The 19822-nt window shown below is 44.6% G+C and overlaps 2 protein-coding genes and 1 long non-coding RNA gene across 5 annotated transcripts in view, besides 2 other annotated features; all 3 read right to left on the reverse strand.

Annotated features, from left to right (window-relative positions):
- The window catches only part of SLC35D2-HSD17B3 (SLC35D2-HSD17B3 readthrough), a 148406-nt gene extending 133385 nt beyond the window's left edge, over positions 1-15021 (reverse strand). Inside the window, exon 1 of the long non-coding RNA NR_182427.1 lies at positions 14787-15021. This is a non-coding gene — a long non-coding RNA (SLC35D2-HSD17B3 readthrough). The remainder of the gene's footprint in view (positions 1-14786) is intronic.
- SLC35D2 (solute carrier family 35 member D2) overlaps positions 1-15021 on the reverse strand; it is a 70268-nt gene extending 55247 nt beyond the window's left edge. For all 3 annotated transcript variants that reach the window (NR_104627.2, NM_001286990.2, NM_007001.3), the window contains exon 1: positions 14787-15021. Coding sequence is in view for 2 of the 3 variants with exons in the window: in NM_001286990.2 (NP_001273919.1) it covers positions 14787-14944 (158 nt within the window). In the remaining variant the exon portion in view is untranslated. The remainder of the gene's footprint in view (positions 1-14786) is intronic.
- Positions 14620-14669: a silencer, noted in NCBI's record as "silent region_20077". NCBI's record gives its function as "represses an Ori minimal core promoter by ATAC-STARR-seq in GM12878 lymphoblastoid cells {active_cell/tissue: GM12878}" and the evidence as "EXISTENCE:reporter gene assay evidence [ECO:0000049][PMID:35858748]".
- Positions 14680-15009: a silencer, noted in NCBI's record as "silent region_20078". NCBI's record gives its function as "represses an Ori minimal core promoter by ATAC-STARR-seq in GM12878 lymphoblastoid cells {active_cell/tissue: GM12878}" and the evidence as "EXISTENCE:reporter gene assay evidence [ECO:0000049][PMID:35858748]".
- The window catches only part of ZNF367 (zinc finger protein 367), a 32430-nt gene continuing 29858 nt past the window's right edge, over positions 17251-19822 (reverse strand). The window contains exon 5 of the mRNA NM_153695.4: positions 17251-19769. Coding sequence (NP_710162.1) covers positions 19547-19769 — 223 coding nt within the window. The 3' untranslated portion in view covers positions 17251-19546. The remainder of the gene's footprint in view (positions 19770-19822) is intronic.

Consider the following 19822-nt stretch of genomic DNA (forward strand, 5'->3'; position numbering starts at 1 on the left):
TATATATGTGTATATTATATATATATTATATATATTATACTCCCTCTCTCTCTCTCTCTCTACATATATATATATACACACACACACACATTGAGATGGAGTCTCACTCTATCACGCAGGCTGGAGTGCAGTGGCACGATCTCAGCTCACTGCAACCTCCACCTCCTGGGTTCAAGCGATTCTCCTGCCTCAGCCTCCCGAGTAGCTGGGACTATAGGCGCGCACCACCATGCCCGGTTAATTTTTGTATTTTTAGTAGAAACGGAGTTTCATCATGTTGGCCAGGCTGGTCTCAAACTCTTGACCTCAAATGATCTGCCCGCCTTGGCCTCCCAAAGTGCTAGGATTATAGGCGGGAGCCACTGTGCCCAGCTAAACCTGATATATTTTTAATTTGCTTCAAAATACTCTGGGGGGAGATGGTGGAGTGAGTGGGAGATGGACACAAATGCAGCAAGGTTGTGGACACTGGGTAATGAATCGCTACATAGTGATTCATTATACTAGTTTTAAAAGATAATAACCCAGGAACAAATCTAATCAAAGATTTGCAAGAAAGGCATCTGTATAAAAAATTATATATCAATATTCTCAAAATTAAAGATCTAAATAAAGGTCATGGGTTGGAAACTTGCTATTGTAGTGAGGTCCATTATCCCCGAACTTATTTATAGAATCAGTGCGATCTCAGCAGAAATATCAGCAGATATTTTGTGGAAACTGGCAATCTGATCCTAAAGCTGAATGAAAAGAAAGGCAAAGGGCACCAACATATCACCCAAGACAATCCTGAAGATAAACAAAGTCAGAGGAATGACTCTAATGGATGTCAGGATTCATGTTCAAATTACAATAAATGAGATTGTGTGGTATTTGCACAAAGATAATCCAATGGGACAATGGAAAAGAACAGAGGTCAAGACAGGGACACACATATATGGATGCCTGATTTATGACATAGATGATGCTGCAGAGCAGTGGAGAAAAGACGATCTTTCAGCAAACGGCACTGGGTGATTTGGATGCAGACTTCTGACCCCTACCTCACATCATATTTTAACAAGGCAGGACCGCACCTGCACTGGCTCAACCCTTCACTGGCTCCCAGTCATTTCTCAGGCTACTCACAAAGCTGGAATACCCCACAAAACTCAGCCCTCAATCTGTATGTCAGAAGGGAAACACACCTGTCTCAGACAGTCTAAGAAGAGAATAAAGAATAAACCTAACTTATCAGAGAAAACAGAATGAATGGCTGGACAGTACCACCATGCAAATAAAATTAACTCTACTGAGTGCTGGGTCATGCCACCCATACCCTCTTCCACACAGAAGCAACCATTCCCCAGCTGGGTCCTCTGCTGCAGAAAGCTGCCGGATAATAGCATGTCCACTCCCTGAGCATGGCCTGCATTTTAACTGTTGGTCTCTGCAGGGGTATAACGGCTACACCCCTGCCCCAATTCAGGACAGCTCTGCAGAGCCAGTACAACTCAAGGCCCCTGGGATGAGGCCTTTGCTGTGACTGCCTCAGAGCCCAACTTCTCCCTCTGCCTAATTCTGCCTCCTGGCATCACTTCCTAACATATTTCCTACGCCTCTGAGAATACAACCTGTAACATGAAGCAAAATCACAAGGCAACAATATAAACAAACAGTAAAACAACAACAAAAAGGGTCACCCGGCTAGGAGTGGTGGCTCATGCCTATAATCTCAGCACTTTGGGAGGCCAAGGTGAGCAGATCACCTGAGGTCAGGAGTTCGAGGCCAGCCTGGCCAACATGGTGAAACTCCGTCTCTGCTAAAAATACAAAAATTAGCCGGGCGTGGTGGTGGGCACCTGTAGTCCCAACTACTTGGGAGGCTGAGGCATGAGAATCACCTGAACCCAGGAGGCAGAGGTTGCAGTGAGCCGAGATCGTGCCACTGCACTCCAGCCTGGGCGACAGAGCAAGACTCTGTCTCCAAAAAATAAAAAAAAATAAATTTTAAAAAATAGTAAAATAACAACAAAAAGGCTCACAGAAGATAAGTCAAAGAGCCCAGCCTAGAAGAAAATTTAATGCATGGAAGAGAAGGAAGTCTTGCTAATTGCTTCAGGCCATAGAACACCTCAGAAAGAATAAAACCAATAAAACAAAAGCTCAAAATTGAGTTGATATGACAGTCAAAGGAGATTAAAAGAAAGCATGCAGACCTAAGGAAACCAGCTAAGACCAAACAACCTAACTGCCACATAAGGAAATACCTTTAGAAACACCCAGGAGCTACATGGCGACTGCTGAAAATGGAATGACCAACACCTGAGGTGATCATAGTGCATGCAGAGGAAAACAACTTTAAAAGATAAATTGATCTGGAAGACAGAAAACCACCACTATACAGGGCTAGTTAGTAGGCCTGGAATTTAGAAGACTATATTCCATAACTTTATATTGAATTCCATTCTATAATTTAAGTTAAACCACCAGAGTTATTAAACTACTCAATAGGCCAGATGCAGTGGCTCATGCCTGTAATCCCAGCACTTTGGGAGGCCGAGGCGGGTGGATCACCTGAGGTCAGGAGTTCGAAACCAGCCTGGCCAACATGGTGAAACCCCATCTCTACTAAAAAATACAAAAATTAGCCAGGCGTGGTGGCACACACTGGTAATCCCAGCTACTTGGGAGCCTGATACAGGAGAATCACTTGAATTGTACCTGGGAGGCAGAGGTTGCAGTGAGCTGAGATCACGCCACTGCACTCTATCTAGCCTGGGTGACAGAGCGAGACTCTGTCTCAAAAAAAAAAAAAAAAAAAAAAAAAAAAAAAATTTAAACACTGGATCTAAAAGAAACTCAATAACTTTAGCTTTTTAATATTTTTCATTGATCTTAGACCTCTTATATTTAGAGGGATCTTTTAACACTTTTAAGACATATTAATCCTTGTAGTAAAGAAATATATATCTTTGAAAGTCAATAATTCTTTCAGTTGAACTTCTACTTCTCTTTTCTCCATTCAGTTCAGTTAAAACTAAATTTCTTTTTTTTTTTTTTTTTTTTTTTTTTGAGACGGAGTCTCGCTCTGTCGCCCAGGCTGGAGTGCAGTGGCGGGATCTCGGCTCACTGCAAGCTCCGCCTCCCGGGTTCACGCCATTCTCCTGCCTCAGCCTCCCAAGTAGCTGGGACTACAGGCGCCCGCCACTACGCCCGGCTAATTTTTTGTATTTTTAGTAGAGACGGGGTTTCACCGTTTTAGCCGGGATGGTCTCGATCTCCTGACCTCGTGATCCGCCCGCCTCGGCCTCCCAAAGTGCTGGGATTACAGGCGTGAGCCACCGCGCCCAGCCTGGTTAAAACTAAATTTCATACATGCATGCTATGGCAATACCCATCTAAATAACTCTTCAAGTGCAGCCAGCATGACCCGAGCTGTGGCCACTCCTGATACAGTGTAAGACGACGTTCCCAGGGTAGCTATCAAGTATTCTTGCCAAAAATGTTTAAACCAAATGAAATAAAGTCTTTAGATCTAACTTTCAGTTAGAAAATGAGAAAGATAAGTTAATTGAGACTTCAAAAGATGAACTGAACAATCCAAAATATGGGACATTTTACAAAACAACTGGTCCAGGCTTTTCAAAAAGTCAATATTACGGGGAGGGAGTGGGATAGGGAACTTTTCTACATTAAAAGAAACTAAAAAGACAAAACTGTATGTATTGCATGAGCCTTGATTGGATCATAAAACCATAAAAAACATCTTTGGGACAACTGGGATTGTGGGGAGAAAAGAAGAAAAGAAACTTTTTATCTAAGGAATTATCAGGCCCAGAGAGGCCCTGGAATGTAACAGCATTCATATTGCTCCTCTCTGAGCTAAATAATTAAATAATTACTTTTTTTTTTTTTTTTTTTTTTTTTTTTGAGAACGAATCTCACTCTGTTGCCCAGGCTGGAGTGCAGTGGCATGATCTCAGCTCACTGCAACCTTCGCCTCCCAGGGTCAAGCGATTCTCCTGCTTCAGCCTCCGGAGTAGCTGGGATTACAGGCGCGCACCACCACGCCTGCCTAATTTTTTGTATTTTTAGTAGAAACGGGGTTTCACCATGTTAGCCAGGCTGGTCTCGAACTCCTGACCTCAGGTGATCCGCCCACCTCTGCCTCCCAAAGTGCTGGGATTACAGGCACTAGCAACCATGCCCGGGTTTTTTGTTCTTTTGTTTTTTTGTTTTTTTTTTTTGAGACAGAGTTTCGCTCTTGCCCAGGTTGGAGTACAATAGCATGATCTCGGCTCACTGCAACCTCTGCCTCCTGGGTTCAAGCAATTCTCCTGCCTCAGCCTTCCGAATGTCTGGGATTACAGGCACCCACCACCACGCCTGGCTAATTTTTGTATATTTAGTAGAGATTGGGTTTCACCATGTTGACCAAGCTGGTCTTGAACTTCTGACCTCAGGTGATCCACCCGCCTTGGCCTGCCAAGTGCTGAAATTACAGGCATGAGCCATCACCCCCGGCCCAATAATTACCTCTTAAAGCCACTTGCTATGTGGAGCTAGAACGATACCAAGTAGCCATAAAATGCCATACACCCTATAGTTCAACAATGTGTAGCCAATCACTAACCAATATTATTTCTGCAAACAATGAGAATTCCTGACAAACCACTTTTGTAATCACCCCCTCCCCTGATATGTCCTTTTTTTCTTTAAAAACTTGAGCCTCTCGGCCGGGAGTGGTAGCTTACACCTGTAATTCCAGCACTTTGGGAGGCCAGGTCAGGCGGATCACGAGGTCAGGAGTTCGAGACCAGCCTGGCCAACATGGCAAAACCCCATCTCTACTGAAAATACAAAAATTAGCCGGGTGTGGTGGCGGGTGCCTATAATCCCAGCTACTCGGGAGGCTGAGGCAGGAGAATTGCTTGAACCTGGTAAGCGGAGGTTGCAGTGAGCAGAGATCACGCCATTGCACTTCAGCCTGGCCGACAAGAGCAAGACTCTCTCAAAAAAAAAAAAAAAAACAATTTGAGCTTCTCTTTTGTTCTCCTGAGCAGTCCCCAAGGAAACCCAGAAGTGTTTCAAGTGTCCCAGGCTGCAATCTTCAACCTCAGCCCAAATAAGCTCTCTACGTTAATTTTCCCTCAGCTTCTTCGCTTTAGGGGGACCAGATGATTATAGATTTGGTAGTAGATTATTTTAGGAAGTTGTTGTTAAGTTTGTTAAAAGTCAAATGATACAATGTAGGAGAATATCCTAAGATCTCAGCAGAGGCAAGCTGAAGTATTTCAGAGTGCAGTGCTGTGATGCTTGCAACTTACTTTCAAAGGCTGGAGGGGAATCCCAGTACTGTGTGTGCCCTGTTCACTCCTCCTTTGCTTTCCCGTTTTCAGTATGCTTGAAACTTTTCAAAATAAAAAGTTTGGGAGAGGAGGAATCTAAGTAATCCTCATAAAATTAAATAATTAAATCAAAGGCCCCATTTCCAACTCCTTTTTGGATTAAAGAAAATAATTTATAAATGAATAGCTTCTATAATATGAATCCATCTTTATAAAAAGTAATTCATTGGCCGGGTGTGGTGGCTCACGCACGGCCTGTAATCCCAGCACTTTGGGAGGCCAAGGCAGGCGAATCACGAGGTCAAGAGATAGAGACTATCCTGGCCAACATGGTGAAACCCCGTCTCTACTAAAAATACAAAATTTAGCTGGGCATAGTGGCTTGCGCCTGTAGTCCCAGCTACTTGGGAGGCTGAGGCAGGAGAATCGCTTGAACCTGGGAGGCAGAGGTTGCAGTGAGTCGAAATCGTGCCACTGCACTCCAGCCTGGCGACAAAGCGAGACTCCGTCTCAAAAAAAAAAAAAAAAAGTAGGCCAGGCGCAGTGGCTCACCCCTGTAATCCCAGCACTTTGGGAGGACGAGGCGGGTGGATCACGAGATCAGGAGATGGAGACCATCCTAGCTAGGACGGTGAAACCCCATCTCTACTAAAAAAATAAAAAAAAAATTAGCCGAGCGTGGTGGCAGGCGCCTGTAGTCCCAGCTACTCGGGAGGCTGAGGCAGGAGAATGGCGTGAACCCGGAAGGCAGAGCTTACAGTGAGCCAAGATCACGCCACTGCACTCCAGCCTGCGCAAAAGAGCAAGAGCGACACTCCGCCTCAAAAAAAAAAAAAAAATTCATTTATGTTTCTATGTCTCCACCTATTTATCTATATCCATCCATCCAAAAAGATGTCTGAAATTGTTGCCTCATGTTCATTATAGTAAATTTTTTTTAAATTTTACCCTAATATTTCTATTTTGTTTGAATTCTTTTTTTTTTTTTTGAGATTGAATCTCACTCTGTTGCCCAGGCTGGAGTGCAGTGGCTCAATCTCAGCTCACTGCAACCTCTGCCTCCCGGGTTCAAGCCATTCTCCTGCCTCAGCCTCCCAAGTAGCTGGGATTACAAGCGCCCACCACGATGCCCGGCTAATTTTTGTATTTTTAGTAGCGATAGGGTTTCACCATGGTGGCCAGGCTGGTCTCAAACTCCTGACCTCAGGTGATCCGCCCACCTGAATTCTTTATAATAATCACAACAGAATAACTTTTCTTAAAAAACGTACTGACAGCCGGGTGCAGTGGGTCACGCCTGTAATCCTAGCACTTTGAGAGGCCAAGGCGGGTGGATCACCTGATGTCAGGAGTTCGAAACCAGACTGGCCAACATGATGAAACCCCGTCTCTACTAAAAATACAAAAATTAGCTGGGCATGGTGGCTCATGCCTGTAATCCCAACTACTCAAGAAGCTGAGGCAAGAGAATCACTTGAACCCAGGAGATGGAGGTTGCTGTGAGCCAAGATCATGCCATTGCACTCCAGCCTAGGAAACAAAAGCAAAGCTCCATCTCAAAAAAAAAAAAAGGTATTGATTCTAGGTAGTGGGAATTATTATTGTCTTCTTTGCTCATTTCTGTATCCCCAATGTTTTAACTGAGTTCTTGTAGATGTGAACATGAGGAAGTGAAGATCATGTGGGCAGAACTCCTTCAAGAGTCTTCTGATTCTGGCTGGGTGTGGTGGTTCACGCCTGTAATCGCAGCACTTTGAGAGGCCAAGGCAGGTGGATCACTTGAGGTCAGGAGTTTGTGACCAGCCTGGCCAACACGGCAAAACCCCGTCTCTACTAAAAATAAAAAAATTAGCCGGGGAGTCAGGCGCAGTGGCTTACTCCTGTAATCCCAGCACTTTGGGAGGCCGAGGCAGGTGGATCACTTGAGGTCAGGAGTTCAAAACCAGCCTGGCCAATATGGTGAAACCCCATCTCTACTAAAAATACAAAAATTGGCCGGGCACAGTGGCTCATGCCTGTAATCTTAGCACTTTGGGAGGCTGAGGCAGGCGAATCACGAGGTCAAGAGTTCGAGACCAGCCTGACCAACATGGTGAAACCCCTTCTCTACTAAAAATACAAAAAAATAGCTGGGCATAGTGGCAGGCGCCTGTAATCCCAGCTACTCGGGAGGCTGAGGCAGGAGAATTGCTTGAACCCGGGAGGTGGAGGTTGCAGTGAGCCTAGATGGAGCCACTGCATTCCAGCCCAGGTGACAGAGTGAGACTCTGTCTCAAAAAAAAAAAAAAAAAAAATACAAAAACTGGCTGGGCGCAGTGGCTCACGCCTGTAATCTCAGCACTTTGGGAGGCCAAGGAGGGTGGATCACGAGGTCAGGAGTTCGAGACCAGCCTGGCCAATATGGTGAAACCCCGTCTCTACTAAAAAAATATATAAAAATTAGCCAGGCATGGTGGCGGGTGCCTGTAATCCCAGCTACTTGGGAGGCTGAGGCAGAAGAACTGCTTAAACACGGGAGGTGGAGATTGCAGTGAGCCGAGATCGTGCCATTGCACTCCAGCCTGGGCAACAGAGAGAGACTCTGACTCTAAATAAATAAATAAATAAGCCAGGAGGTTGGTGGGCGCCCATAATCCCGGCTACTCGGGAGGCTGGGGCAGGAGAATTGCCTGGACCCAGGAGGGAGAGGTTGCAGTGAGCCGAGATCACACCACTGCACTCCTGAGTAGCTGGGATTACCAGGCCTGGCTAATTTTTGTATTTTTAGTAGCGACGGGGTTTCACCATGTTGGCTGACCAGGATGGTCTCGAACTCCTGACCTCAAGTGATCCACCCGCCTCGGCCTCCCAAAGTGCTAGGATTATAGGTGTGAGCCACTGCGCCCGGCCATGGGGTCAACAATTTGAAAGTAAACCAGCCAGCCAGATGTGGTTTTCGGCTCACAACACTCAAGAGCTGCTCAAGTGCTGAAAGAAGCAAGCAGAAGACAAGTGCATGCCAAAGTGAGAAGAAAAGAGTCTCACGTGTCCCTCCTAGAGTGGCTCTCAGCGGACCAAGCAGAGAAACAATGCCAGGAGGCACAGTCACAGCAGCGAGAAGGGACTGAGGAGGAGGCCTGGGGAAGCCAAGTGTGGACAGCCTGCAGGGGAGATCTCGGAGAGGTGCAGTTACTCGTGTTACCGCTGATCATCCGAAACGGGCCACTCTTGTCATACCAAACTAAAACAGTAACCAGGTAGGAAAAGCATTCGGGTACAAAATATGGCTCCAAGAATATAATTCTCTGCAAGCCCAACTGCTGGAACTGCTTGTTGTAACCTGAAACCAGTTTTATCTCTAGCTTCTGAGACCACTTGCTGCAACTCCAGGACTAATTTTGTCCACCACCTTTGCTCACCAGTCATTGTTTGCCAGCTCCCCAAACCCTGACAGTGCCAATAAACTTTCTCCCAGCACAGTATGTAACATTTCTTCTTTTTCAGCAAAACCTCGAACCTTCTCTTTGTTCTTCAGACATTCCAAAGATCACCCAGATTGTATGTATGACTCACATGGCAATTCTTTCTTCCCAAATAAAACATTAAATTTACAGCCTTGTCTCCACATTGTTATTTTGACTTTGACACTTGTAAGGAGAGGATCCTGGCAGCAGTCATGGGAAGCAAGGTTCAGGAGAGTTTGCTGGAGACCAGAGTAGACTGTGACACTTCAGTGTGTGGGCCCTGAAGCCACAGGAAGGGTGACCTGAGCTAGGTGGAGAGGAAGGCTAAGACTTAGATAATCAGTCACCAGAAGCTCAGGCAGCATTCCACAGGAGACAGAAAGGATGGCACATCCAGAGTCTCAACAGAGCATGAGCAGCTGGGAGCTAGGAGGACCCAATCCCATCTCCTGGCCTAGGCCTGGTGGGTAAGGCAAAGATCCAGCTCCATCAAGGGGGGTGAAGGAAGCAACATCTTCGGGACAGAGTCAGGTTTTCATTAAAGTAAGAGCACATTAGGAGTTGCTTTTGGTTTGGGATACAGAATTCCAGTTCCCACCACTGAGGATTCCAATTCAGTACCTTTTATTAAAAAAAACCTCTCCAAGTGATTAAGACTACTGGGCAGGTTTGGAAATTACTGTGTCTAAACCAGGCACAATGGCTCATGCCTGTAATCCCAGCACTTTAGGAGGCCAAGCCAGGTGGACCACTTGAGCCCAAGAGTTCGAGACCAGCCTGAGCAACATACTGAGACTCCATCTCTAAAAAAAAAAAAAAAACAGCTGGGCACGATGGTGTGCACCTGCAGTCCCAGCTACTCAGGAGGCTGACTTTGGAGGATTGTCTGAGCCAGCAGAGGTTCCAGTGAGCCGAGATTGCATCACTGCACTCCAGCCTGGGTGACAGAGTAAGACCCTGTCTCAAAAAACAAAACAAAACAAACAAAAAAAAACCTCAAAGCCTTTGGATGCATACTAAACATATATAGTAAATAGTGAGCAAATATTTGTTGAAATGAATACAGTAAAGTTAGATATTTTTATTAAGCATCATTAGCAAATTCTTCCATGTCACAGACTAGGAGTATAATATTATATAATGTTAAAGCAGAAAAGACCAGCTTGGTGTGGTAGCTCACGCTAGTAATCTCAGCACTTTGGGAGGCTGAGGCAGGAGGATCACTTGACTCAGTCATTTGAGATCAACCTGGGCAATAGAGCAAAACCTCGTCTCTACAAAAATTAAAAATTAAAAAAAAAAATTTAATTCAAAAATGACCCAGGAGTGGTGGTGCACACCTGTAGTCTCAGCTACTCAGGAGGCTGAGGTGAGAGGATCACCTGAGCCCAGGAGGTAGAGGCTGCTGTGAGCCTTGATCATGCCACCGCGCTCCAGCCTGGGCAACAGAACAAGACCCAGTCTCAAAAGAAAGAAGAGAAAAAACTGCACAACTCCAGAACAACTGTACAACACTTATGAACTTGATCCCAAAGGACCAAGAGTATAACCAAGCCAGGCGCGGGGGCTCACACCTGTAATCCCAGCCCTTCAAGGGGCCAAGGCGGATGGATTGCTTGAGCCCAGGAGTTCAAGACCAGCCCGGGCAACATAGCAAGAACCCCTCTCTACAGAAAAAAAAAAAAATGCAAAAATTAGCCGGGTGTGGTGGTACACTCCTATAGTCTCAGCTACTCAGGAGGCTGAGGTGGGAAGATCACTTGAGCCCAGGAGGTAGAGGCTGAAGTGAGCTGTGATGGTGCCACTGCACTTCAGCCTGGGTGACAGAGTGAGACCCTGTCTCAAAAAAAAAAAAAAATAAGACATAACCAACTGGCCACAAACTCTGAAATGCCCTTATTTTCCCCTCTCGCCCCAATAGGTTCTCACAGTTCACAGCCTTCAAAGGCCTCTCTGTCCAACCAGGTAAATCTGGCATTACAATGAATTATAAAACTAACAAATCACTAAGATCACCCATTCATTTGGTACCCTGACCAGAAACAATCTGCCCAAAATGAAAGAGGAAAAAGTATCCCCTGAGCTACATTCCCATGACCCTGCGAATTAGGTAACTACCAAAAGGTCCTTTCTTCTATCCTACAACACAACATTCTATCCTCAGACAACTCATGCTTGGATCCGATTTCTATGGTTTATTGTTGTAACCACATCAACCCACTCCTCCTCCCCTCAATAATGTGAGCTTAAAGCATTTTGAGAGGAAAGAATGAACAATGTTATGTGAACAGGGTTCTCCAACTGTATATTACATTACAGAAATGTGGAATGTTTATTTAAAAGGATTATGAGGGTTTTGGCCTTCCTATGGCAAGAACTCCATTTTCTCCTTCAATCATGAAACTCAATAAGTTAAAGATAGAAAGGCTAGAGCCTTTTTTTTTTTTTTTTTGAGACAGAGTCTCACTCTGTCACCCAGGCTGGAGTGCGATGGCGTGGTCTCAGCTCACCACAACCTCCGCCTCCCAGGTTCAAGTGATTCTCTGCCCCAGCCTCCTGAGTAGCTGGTATTGCAGGCACCTGCCACCACACCCAGCTAATATTTGTATTTTTAGTAGAGATGGGGTTTCACCATGTTGGTCAGGCTGGTCTCAAACTCCTGACCTCAGGTGATCCGCCCACCTCAGCCTCCCAGAGTGCTGGGAGTATAGGCGTGAGCCACCGCGCCCGGCCCTTAGAGCCTTTCTTAGGAGGTGTCTTATATCATAAGTCTTCCTGGTTAAACACTGCCCTTCATCTTCAAAGCACTGACCATGGTTTGCTGGTGCCTGCTTCCAATAAGAGGACTTGGGTTTTGGAGGTGTTGACTGCCATGGTCAGTCAGCACCCTGCTCACTCAGGTGCACAAAATGAAGACTTATCTTCAACCATCATTGACATAATGACTGGCCACTCCCAAACAAGCCCATCAATAGCATTTTCATTTTCTGGTATTTTTTCTTTTTTTTTTTTGAGACTGAGTCTCACTCTATCGCCCAGGCTGGAGTGCAGTGGTGTGATCTCAGCTCACTGCAACCACTGCCTCCTGAGTTCAAGTGATTCTCCTGACTCAGCCTCCCAAGTAGCTGGGATTATAGGCGTGCACCACCATGCCCAGCTAGTTTTTTTTTGTTTGTTTTTTTTGTATTTTTAGTAGAGACAGGGTTTCACCATGCTGGCCAGGCTGGTCTCGAAATCCTGACCTCATGATCTGCCCACCTCAGGCTCCCGAAGTGCTGGGATTACAGGTGTGAGCCACCGCGCCCGGCCTTTTTTTTTTATCCTAAGTGTTTAAGTTTTCTTTTTCCTTCATTAGCTTCCATGTCAAATGCTCCAGGTTTAGGTACAGTATGTCCATGTTCATTTCCTTGAGGCAGGGCTGTGTTTTCCATGGACACCAGGCAGCAGGCTGCAACACACTGGAGAGACCTTGCCAAGAATACTGACGGCCACAGGATCACCAAAAAATATCCCAAATCCATCCCTTCCTTTTACCTCCGCTGCTATGCCCTGCCCAGTCCACGCCGTCTTTACCTGCAGCCCTGCAGTGGCTTCCAGCCCCTCTCCCTGATGCCAGTACTGTCAGTTCTCCACCCGCCTGCCAGCCAGAGAGATCTTTTTAATCACACAAATTGTGTCAGGTCACTCCCATGTCAAAACCTTCCAAGGGACTTCTAATTGCATTTAGCATGAAACTACAACTATTTATCCAGTCTCATCCTTCCACCCTGGTCCCCAGATGTCGGCTCTCAACACAGCAGCCACAGTGATTTAGATCATGTAATTCCCCTGCCTGACACCTTGCGTGGCTCCCATCTCATTCAGAGCTGATGCCAGAGCCCTGGCGGTGGCCTCCCAAGGCCCCACACAGGCCAGCAATCCATTACTCTCAGACCCCATCTGCTACCATTCCCATTCAAACTCTTCACTCCTCCAGGCCTGGAATGCTCTTCCCCCGTCCCCCAGTGTGGCTTATGTCCCCACCTCACTCTGGTCTTGGCTCCAATGCCACCTCCTTCTGAGGCTCCACTGATCACGCTCACACTGCATACTCTCCCCTCCCTCTCTCCCTCACTCCCTTTCCTGTTTTATTTTTTCCCCAGCACCTTGGTCACATCTGACATAATGTAAATGTTACTGGCTCATTTATTGGTCCACAAGGATGCAGCTCCGTGAAGTTAAGGATTCTGATCTGCTCTTTTCACTTCTCTTTCCCAAGAACGGTGGGAAAACACTGTTCTCCTCGAACAGTGCTGGTACATCACAAGTGCTTAGTGAAAGCTATCAAAAATGAGAGAAAGAGCTGACTCCTGCCTTCCCTGCCTACCTCCCCGCCCAGGCACAGTGATCTTCTCTCTGTTCCTCCAGCAGCCAAGCTCATGCCCACTTCAGCACATTGTACACTTGCTGCTCACTTCTACCTGGAATGCTCTGTGACAGCTACTCCAGCCCAGGCACTCTCACATCAGATCTGAAAGTGTCTCGTTTATTCATGAACCTACCTGTTTATTTTCTGTCTCCACCACTGAAGCAGAATCTCCAGAGCAGGGACCTTGTGCTGTTCACAGAGGCTTCCCTGGTGCTTGCAATGGGCTCAGTATTTAGTAGGTGCTTAATAAATATCTGTTGGAGGTACAACCAATCGAGCTTATGTGGGCCTCAGTTTTCTCGAATATAAAATAAGAAAGGTGAGGCTGGATGAGATAGTTTGCACCTGTAATCACAGCACTTTGGGAGGCCAAAGCAGGCCTAGACCAGCCTTGGAAACACACTGAGACCCCACCTCTACAAAAAATCAAAAAAATTGCCGGTGCAGTGGTGCACACCTATGGTCCCAGCTTCTCTGGAGGCTGCAGCAGAAGGATTGCTTGAACCCAGATGGTCGAGGCTGCAGTGAGTCATGATTGTGTCACTACACTCCAGCCTAGGCAACAGAGTGAAACCTTGTCTCAAAAAAATATTATACACACACACACACACACACACACACACACTATATATATATATATATATATGCCTGCCTTGGCCTCCCAAATGCTGTGATTACAGGTGCAAACCACCTCAGCCAGCCTCAGCTTTCGTATTTTATATTCGAGAAAAGTGAGACCCACATAAGCTGAATCTGTATGTATATATAAAAAAAGAAAGCTGATACTCTAAGATACTCTCTAACTAAGACACTCTAGGTCTCTTTGGGCTCTAAAATGTTGATGGCATATTCTTGTAACATAGTAGAGTTTACAAAGAGCCTTCACATATAACAGCTCGTGCAGAGCCCTGGAGGGTAATTAACACGATTGTAATCATTCAGGTTTTTTGCATCTGAAAAAAATTGCTGACTGTGAGACTGGTCCAAAAAGACAGGTGTTAACCGGTGGAGCTGGGTCTAAATCCACAATTTTCTCAGTGCCGCTACAATGGTAGCAGAATTAAGCAGGATTTTCTAGTCCTTACAAATAGGTTCAAGGCAGCACAAATTTGCGTTTACTTCACACTAATCCAAAAAAGTACTCCATATGAACTTCCAATTGTTTTCCCGAGTTTTCCATGAACACGCTGGTCATCTGAGAATGAACAGTCAATCAATACAGACTTACTGGCTCAGGAGTACCTGACCGTTGAACATGGAGATCTGTGTAAGGAATTGCGTCCTTTGAAGCAGGCATTTGAATCCCTGTTTTCAGCTCGCTGGGTGTATGAAAGAATCTGTCTGAGCTCTACCAGCCCACCTAGGACAGGGCGCCTCGCAGCAGGGCAGGCGCGCTCAGGAAGAGAACGACTTTCTCAGGTTGTGGCCTGAGTGTAGAAAGCTGAGCGAGTTCTGGAGGGCGCCTGGGAAACTCGACCAATGTGCCCAGCTGAGACTCGAGGGTCCCTGTCCCCACCCGCCCTGTCCCGGGCGCCGCTGAAGCGCACGGAGGACAGGGGCAGCCCCGCACTCCCGCAGACCCCCCGGCCCCGGGCCCCGCCTCACCCGTAGGTGGTCAGCAGCGCCTTGTTGACAAGCACGATGAGGAAGGAGCAGGTCCCGTAGAAGAGCGCCGACAGCAGCCGGGCCACCCGCGAGGGCAGCCGCGCCGCGCCGGGCTCCCCGCCAGCGCCCTCGGCCTCGGCCTGGCCGCCGGCCGTCATCTCCTGCGGCCCCGCGGACCCCGCCGCCCGCCAGCCCCGGCTGCGCACTGGTCCCGCCCGGCCGGGCCGGGGAAGAGGGCGCGGCAGGAACAGGAAGAGCCCGGCGCAATCCCAGGTCCCGACCCGCCCCCTGCGAGCGCCCGAGGCCGGCGCGGGAGGACCCTGCGCGCTGGACTTCACCCTGGTTCCAGGCACCTCCTTCGGTCTCCAGGGCCGGCAATGCGCTGGGGAGTTGAAAAGCGCTGCCTTCCTCCAGGCTTTCCTGGAAAGAAACGCTTCAGTAAGTCTCAGGGCTTGTTTTGCTTTTTTTTTTTTTTCCCTACAACTTTTTTGTTTAGTGTATAATTTACATACAATGAAGTGTACACATCTTGCCAGTCCATAGTTTGAGATGAGCTTCGACAAAGGCATCCACAGGAGTAACTACTCAAAACAACATTTCCATCGCCCCAAAAATTCCCCTTGCTGCCCCTTTGAAGTTAACGCCCGCATCTCATCGATGACTATTGCTGTAGGTTAGGTTTGCCTTTTCCGGAATTTCAAATAAACAGGGTGCTTTCTAGAATTTATGAATGAGCATGTGGTCTCAGGGGTTTTCACTCTATGCTTTGGACTCGACCATGTGGTTTGTTTAATCGTTGAATAGTATCACAAATTGTGTATCCATTGGTTGTTTCCAGTTTAGGACCATTAGGAAAAATGCTTCCATGAAAATTCGTGGGCGTTTGTGGGACCTGTGTCTTCATTTCTCTTAAATAAATATCTAGGAGTGGAGTGGCTAGGAGTAAGGTGGGTGAAGCCTTGGGACTTGGGTGTCCTCTGGGTGCTTTGTGGTAGGTGCATTCCTCGCGGAGGGCCGTTTGCCTTCGGGTCAGGTCAGTTGAAGGACAGCTTCCCAGAACCGCCTACCCTTGTCAGTCTTTAAAAAATATGAACTTTTGGCCAGGCGCGGTGGCTCACACATGTAATCCCAGCACTTTGGGAGACCGAGGCGGGCAGATCACGAGGTCAGGAGATCGAGACCATCCTGGCTAACACGGTGAAACCCCGTCTCTACTAAAGATACAAAAAAAATTAGCCGGGCGTGGTGGCGGGCGCCTGTAGTCCCAGCTACTCAGGAGGCTGAGGCAGGAGAATGGCGTGAACCCGGGAGGCAGAGCTTGCAGTGAGGCGAGATCGCGCCACTGCACTCCAGCCTGGGCGACAGAGCAAGCCTCCGTCTCAAAAATATATATATTATATATTTAATATATAATGTATATTATATATATATATATATATGAACTTTTAGCTTCTTAGAAAAGCTTAAGATTTCAAGTTAAATAAAAGTTGGGGCCTAACTATATAGATGCCCAGAGAATTGTTTTTCTACCCTTAGGCACTAAACAACCAGGAGAATGAAAACTGGGAAACATTTTCAGCCCTGATAAGAACTAAAGCAGAACTCGTGAAAATTAGCTAGCATTAAAAAGACCAGAAGTGCCCAAGTTACCCAAAACAAGAAAGAAAAGACATGTTAAGTCCGTTTTAAAAGAGAAAATGAATCCATATTCAAGTTAAACAGGAAATCGGTCATTTTGGTTAATTTCCTCAGAACATTCAATTTTCTTGTGAGTCTCCAAATGTTTTGACTGCAAAAAGAATATTTTAAAGTTATTTTTAATGATGACCTTCATCATAATTGCATTTAGTTTGATTGTATACACATACTTCCAGGACCTTACCTCGCTGTCAAAATCCCATCCTTACCCTGTTTAAACAGCAACTCACACTAAGGAGTTGCTTGTGATATTCTTCTGCACAAGGGTAGGACAGGCTGACCCTTGCCACTGCAAATACACAACTAAAGATCTACCAAAAATAACTGATGAAAAAAGAAAACCAATTTGCTAGACTCTTAGAAAAGTACACAGGCTTTAAATGGATTCTTGAGGAGCTGACCCCAGAGACAACCCATCCTAAATGTAAGTGAAATGAAATCCCTTTTCCTTATTACCCTAATTTAAGGCCTGGAAATGGGGTGGCAATAGTTCAATACTTATCCACAGCAGTATATTTTTAACACTGTAGTAATGAACCCGATGAGGAAGTTAAATATCTATAACCTTAAAAGCCATAATTAAAGTAAGAAAAAGCAATCCACACTGTACTTACAACTACGCAAACATGTACTGAAATAATACTGATGGCTGAACATAAGGCTGTAGGTGATGTTTCTATCTTTTAAATTTTTTTATATCATGGTTATTATATTTTCGATAGGAAAACAAATGATAAAGGCTTTAAGAATGACCGTGTACTTTAAATTTTAAATTAAAATAAATTTTTATTCAAAGCATCTTTTAAAATTACAGCATGTTTATTCTTATGCTGTTAACTCTGCCAAACTACAACTTAGCCATATGAAGCATAAAACACTTCAAAAATTTGAATGTAAACCATTTTTTAAAACAAAAAGCAGTCTTAACACACCTCAAATTTTAGATACCAATGTATTTTTCCAAGTATATAGCTTATATCAAAAAGAACATTTTAAATGTTTCTAAATAGTTGTGATAATTTCTTAAACTGTTGCAATTATACAAATAAAAAATGTTTATGAAAAAACTATTAGAGTTGACAAAAGCTGACTGGAGAAACAAGGAAAAACCCTTACTTTTGAAGGCCTTAAATGTTATCATCTGTGAATTGGCAAATATTTGTATTTGAAAAATTCTTACTACCCTTCCTTCTTTAGTTAAGTTGATCAAAGTTCAAATTTCCCAAGACTGATGAGTGTTGTTTTTAGTTCATTAAATCACATATTTGAGAGCAAAAATTCTAGAGGAAATGCTGAAACATAAACCAAGATAATTCAGATGCTATAGTCTCTCTTACCAGCTTATAAGTGCTCCAAATTAAAATTCTATATACCACATTACAAAAAAATTCTTAGACCATTACAAATATAAATTCTCTTATTACAAAAAAATCCCTAAAGATTTGTAATTTACTGTACAGAGGAATTACATTTTTAAAGTATGTCCTCATCATACACATTATTCGTAACTATCGTATCTTCTTTCATACTTTTTCTCCTCTTCAAGACATTTACATGCCTCCCCTTCCCCGTGGCTACATATTTTAAACTATCTGTGTACTATGACACATTGGGATTTTTGGATAAAGAAGCCTACTTTGTAATGTTTAAACTACATCTGTAGGAACGTCTTCAACTCAAAAAAGCTAAAAAGGCACTGAAGAGCCCATATTTCCCTCTATTACTCTGAGTTTTACTCCAATTAAGCGATCTGTAAGTTACCATGCTATGCATGTCATTTAGTTCTGTTTAGAACAAAAGCCAAAATGATGGAAGTTTTGCCTACATAAAGGAGGTGGTCTGCTCAGCTCTTGATTTTTCTGTTCATGCTTCAGTACATAAAGTGGTGTTTAATAACTTTATTTGGAAAAATGGCTTCAAACCACCACACAAGTTAACACACTTGCAGTTAAAACTATTTCAGAAGCCTACTTATTTGAGTAGCTAATATTTTCTGCAGTGTTTAACTGATAGCTAAATTTAGTGAACACAAAATAGCTTGGCATGTTACTCTGAAGTAAAGCAAGAAGGTGGCTTTATGCACTGAAAATATAAATATGGAGGCTTCCATTTGCTAATAATTCTAAACAAGCAGTACAATTAAAATGTAGTGTTTGCTAACAAAAGATCTAAAACATTTCACTACAAAACAACCCTGCAGGTGTCCCTTTAGTAAAAATCCAAGTGCCAAATCTCATTACAGGGCCCTTAATATGTATTTTTAAAATTACCAATTACTATGTTACCTAGACTTTGCAAGATTAATCACTCAATTTCAGCAAATGAGAAATATGAAATGTGCAAAAGTTCCCAAGTTAACATGCTAGGGATGACAAGTGCTTTTCAAACTTAAACATTATACTGAGTTGTAAAGCCCCAGATAGAATAAGACTGATTTTGCTCCAATTTCAAAAATTCTGAACTATTGTGCATCTTACCAAGAGCCTCAAATATCTATTTTCTTCTAAGTCCATTACTTAGAACATCTTCCAAAATAGCCTCCCATTTCTCTAGCCTTAGTGGGCACAGTATTTTGCAATTAAAATTATCTATCTTACATATTTTATACTTTCTTGCTTGCTTCAGTGTTTACAGTATTGTTAAACATACTAATATATATTGTTAAAAATGATCTTATAAATAATCTGTTTTAATCTTCTTTGGCTATTTGTACCATTCTGTTTTTCAAACAAGTGTCTTATTCAGAAAGTGCTTCCTGTGAGAACTGCTTCCAATGAATGCATTAAACTTGCAAAATCTAGCTTCCCACAATATGTAGTTTTCTACCCTGTACTGTGCAGTCCATATTTACAAAATATTTTAAACTTTACGATGAATTCATTTCCATATTAAAAAAGTGCAGTTCTCTCTCACCCCATATTCTGGGGCAATAACATTCTTCATAAATTTCTACAGAATAGCAGCCTATGATAAGCAAATAAGGTGCTTAGCTTATGCCCAAGGATCTACTTTTTAAGTATGCTGGGCAGTACTTTTGTACAGTGGAAGAGTCAGTGTCCAAGCTACTGTCGGAGTGGCGCCCCAGTCAGGTTGGCAAGCTCTATGAGCGCGAGGGCTCCATGCAGGCGCTCCCGCTGCTCCTGCAGCCGGCGCTGGGCCCCTCTCTTCTCGTCGTCCTCTTCATCAGACTGAAGGTATTCCAGAGGGTCCTGCTGCTCCTGATCAGCCTTCTGAACCAGCTTGCCTTTCAAAGTGGGGGTGCGCTGCTCTCTCATTTCCCAATACCTATGTGAAATGCAGCAACATTAGTTACATGGCAGACATGAAATTTCCAAATG

Source organism: Homo sapiens, chromosome 9 (genome assembly GCF_000001405.40).
Source record: "Homo sapiens chromosome 9, GRCh38.p14 Primary Assembly".
NCBI classification, from domain to species: domain Eukaryota; kingdom Metazoa; phylum Chordata; class Mammalia; order Primates; family Hominidae; genus Homo; species Homo sapiens.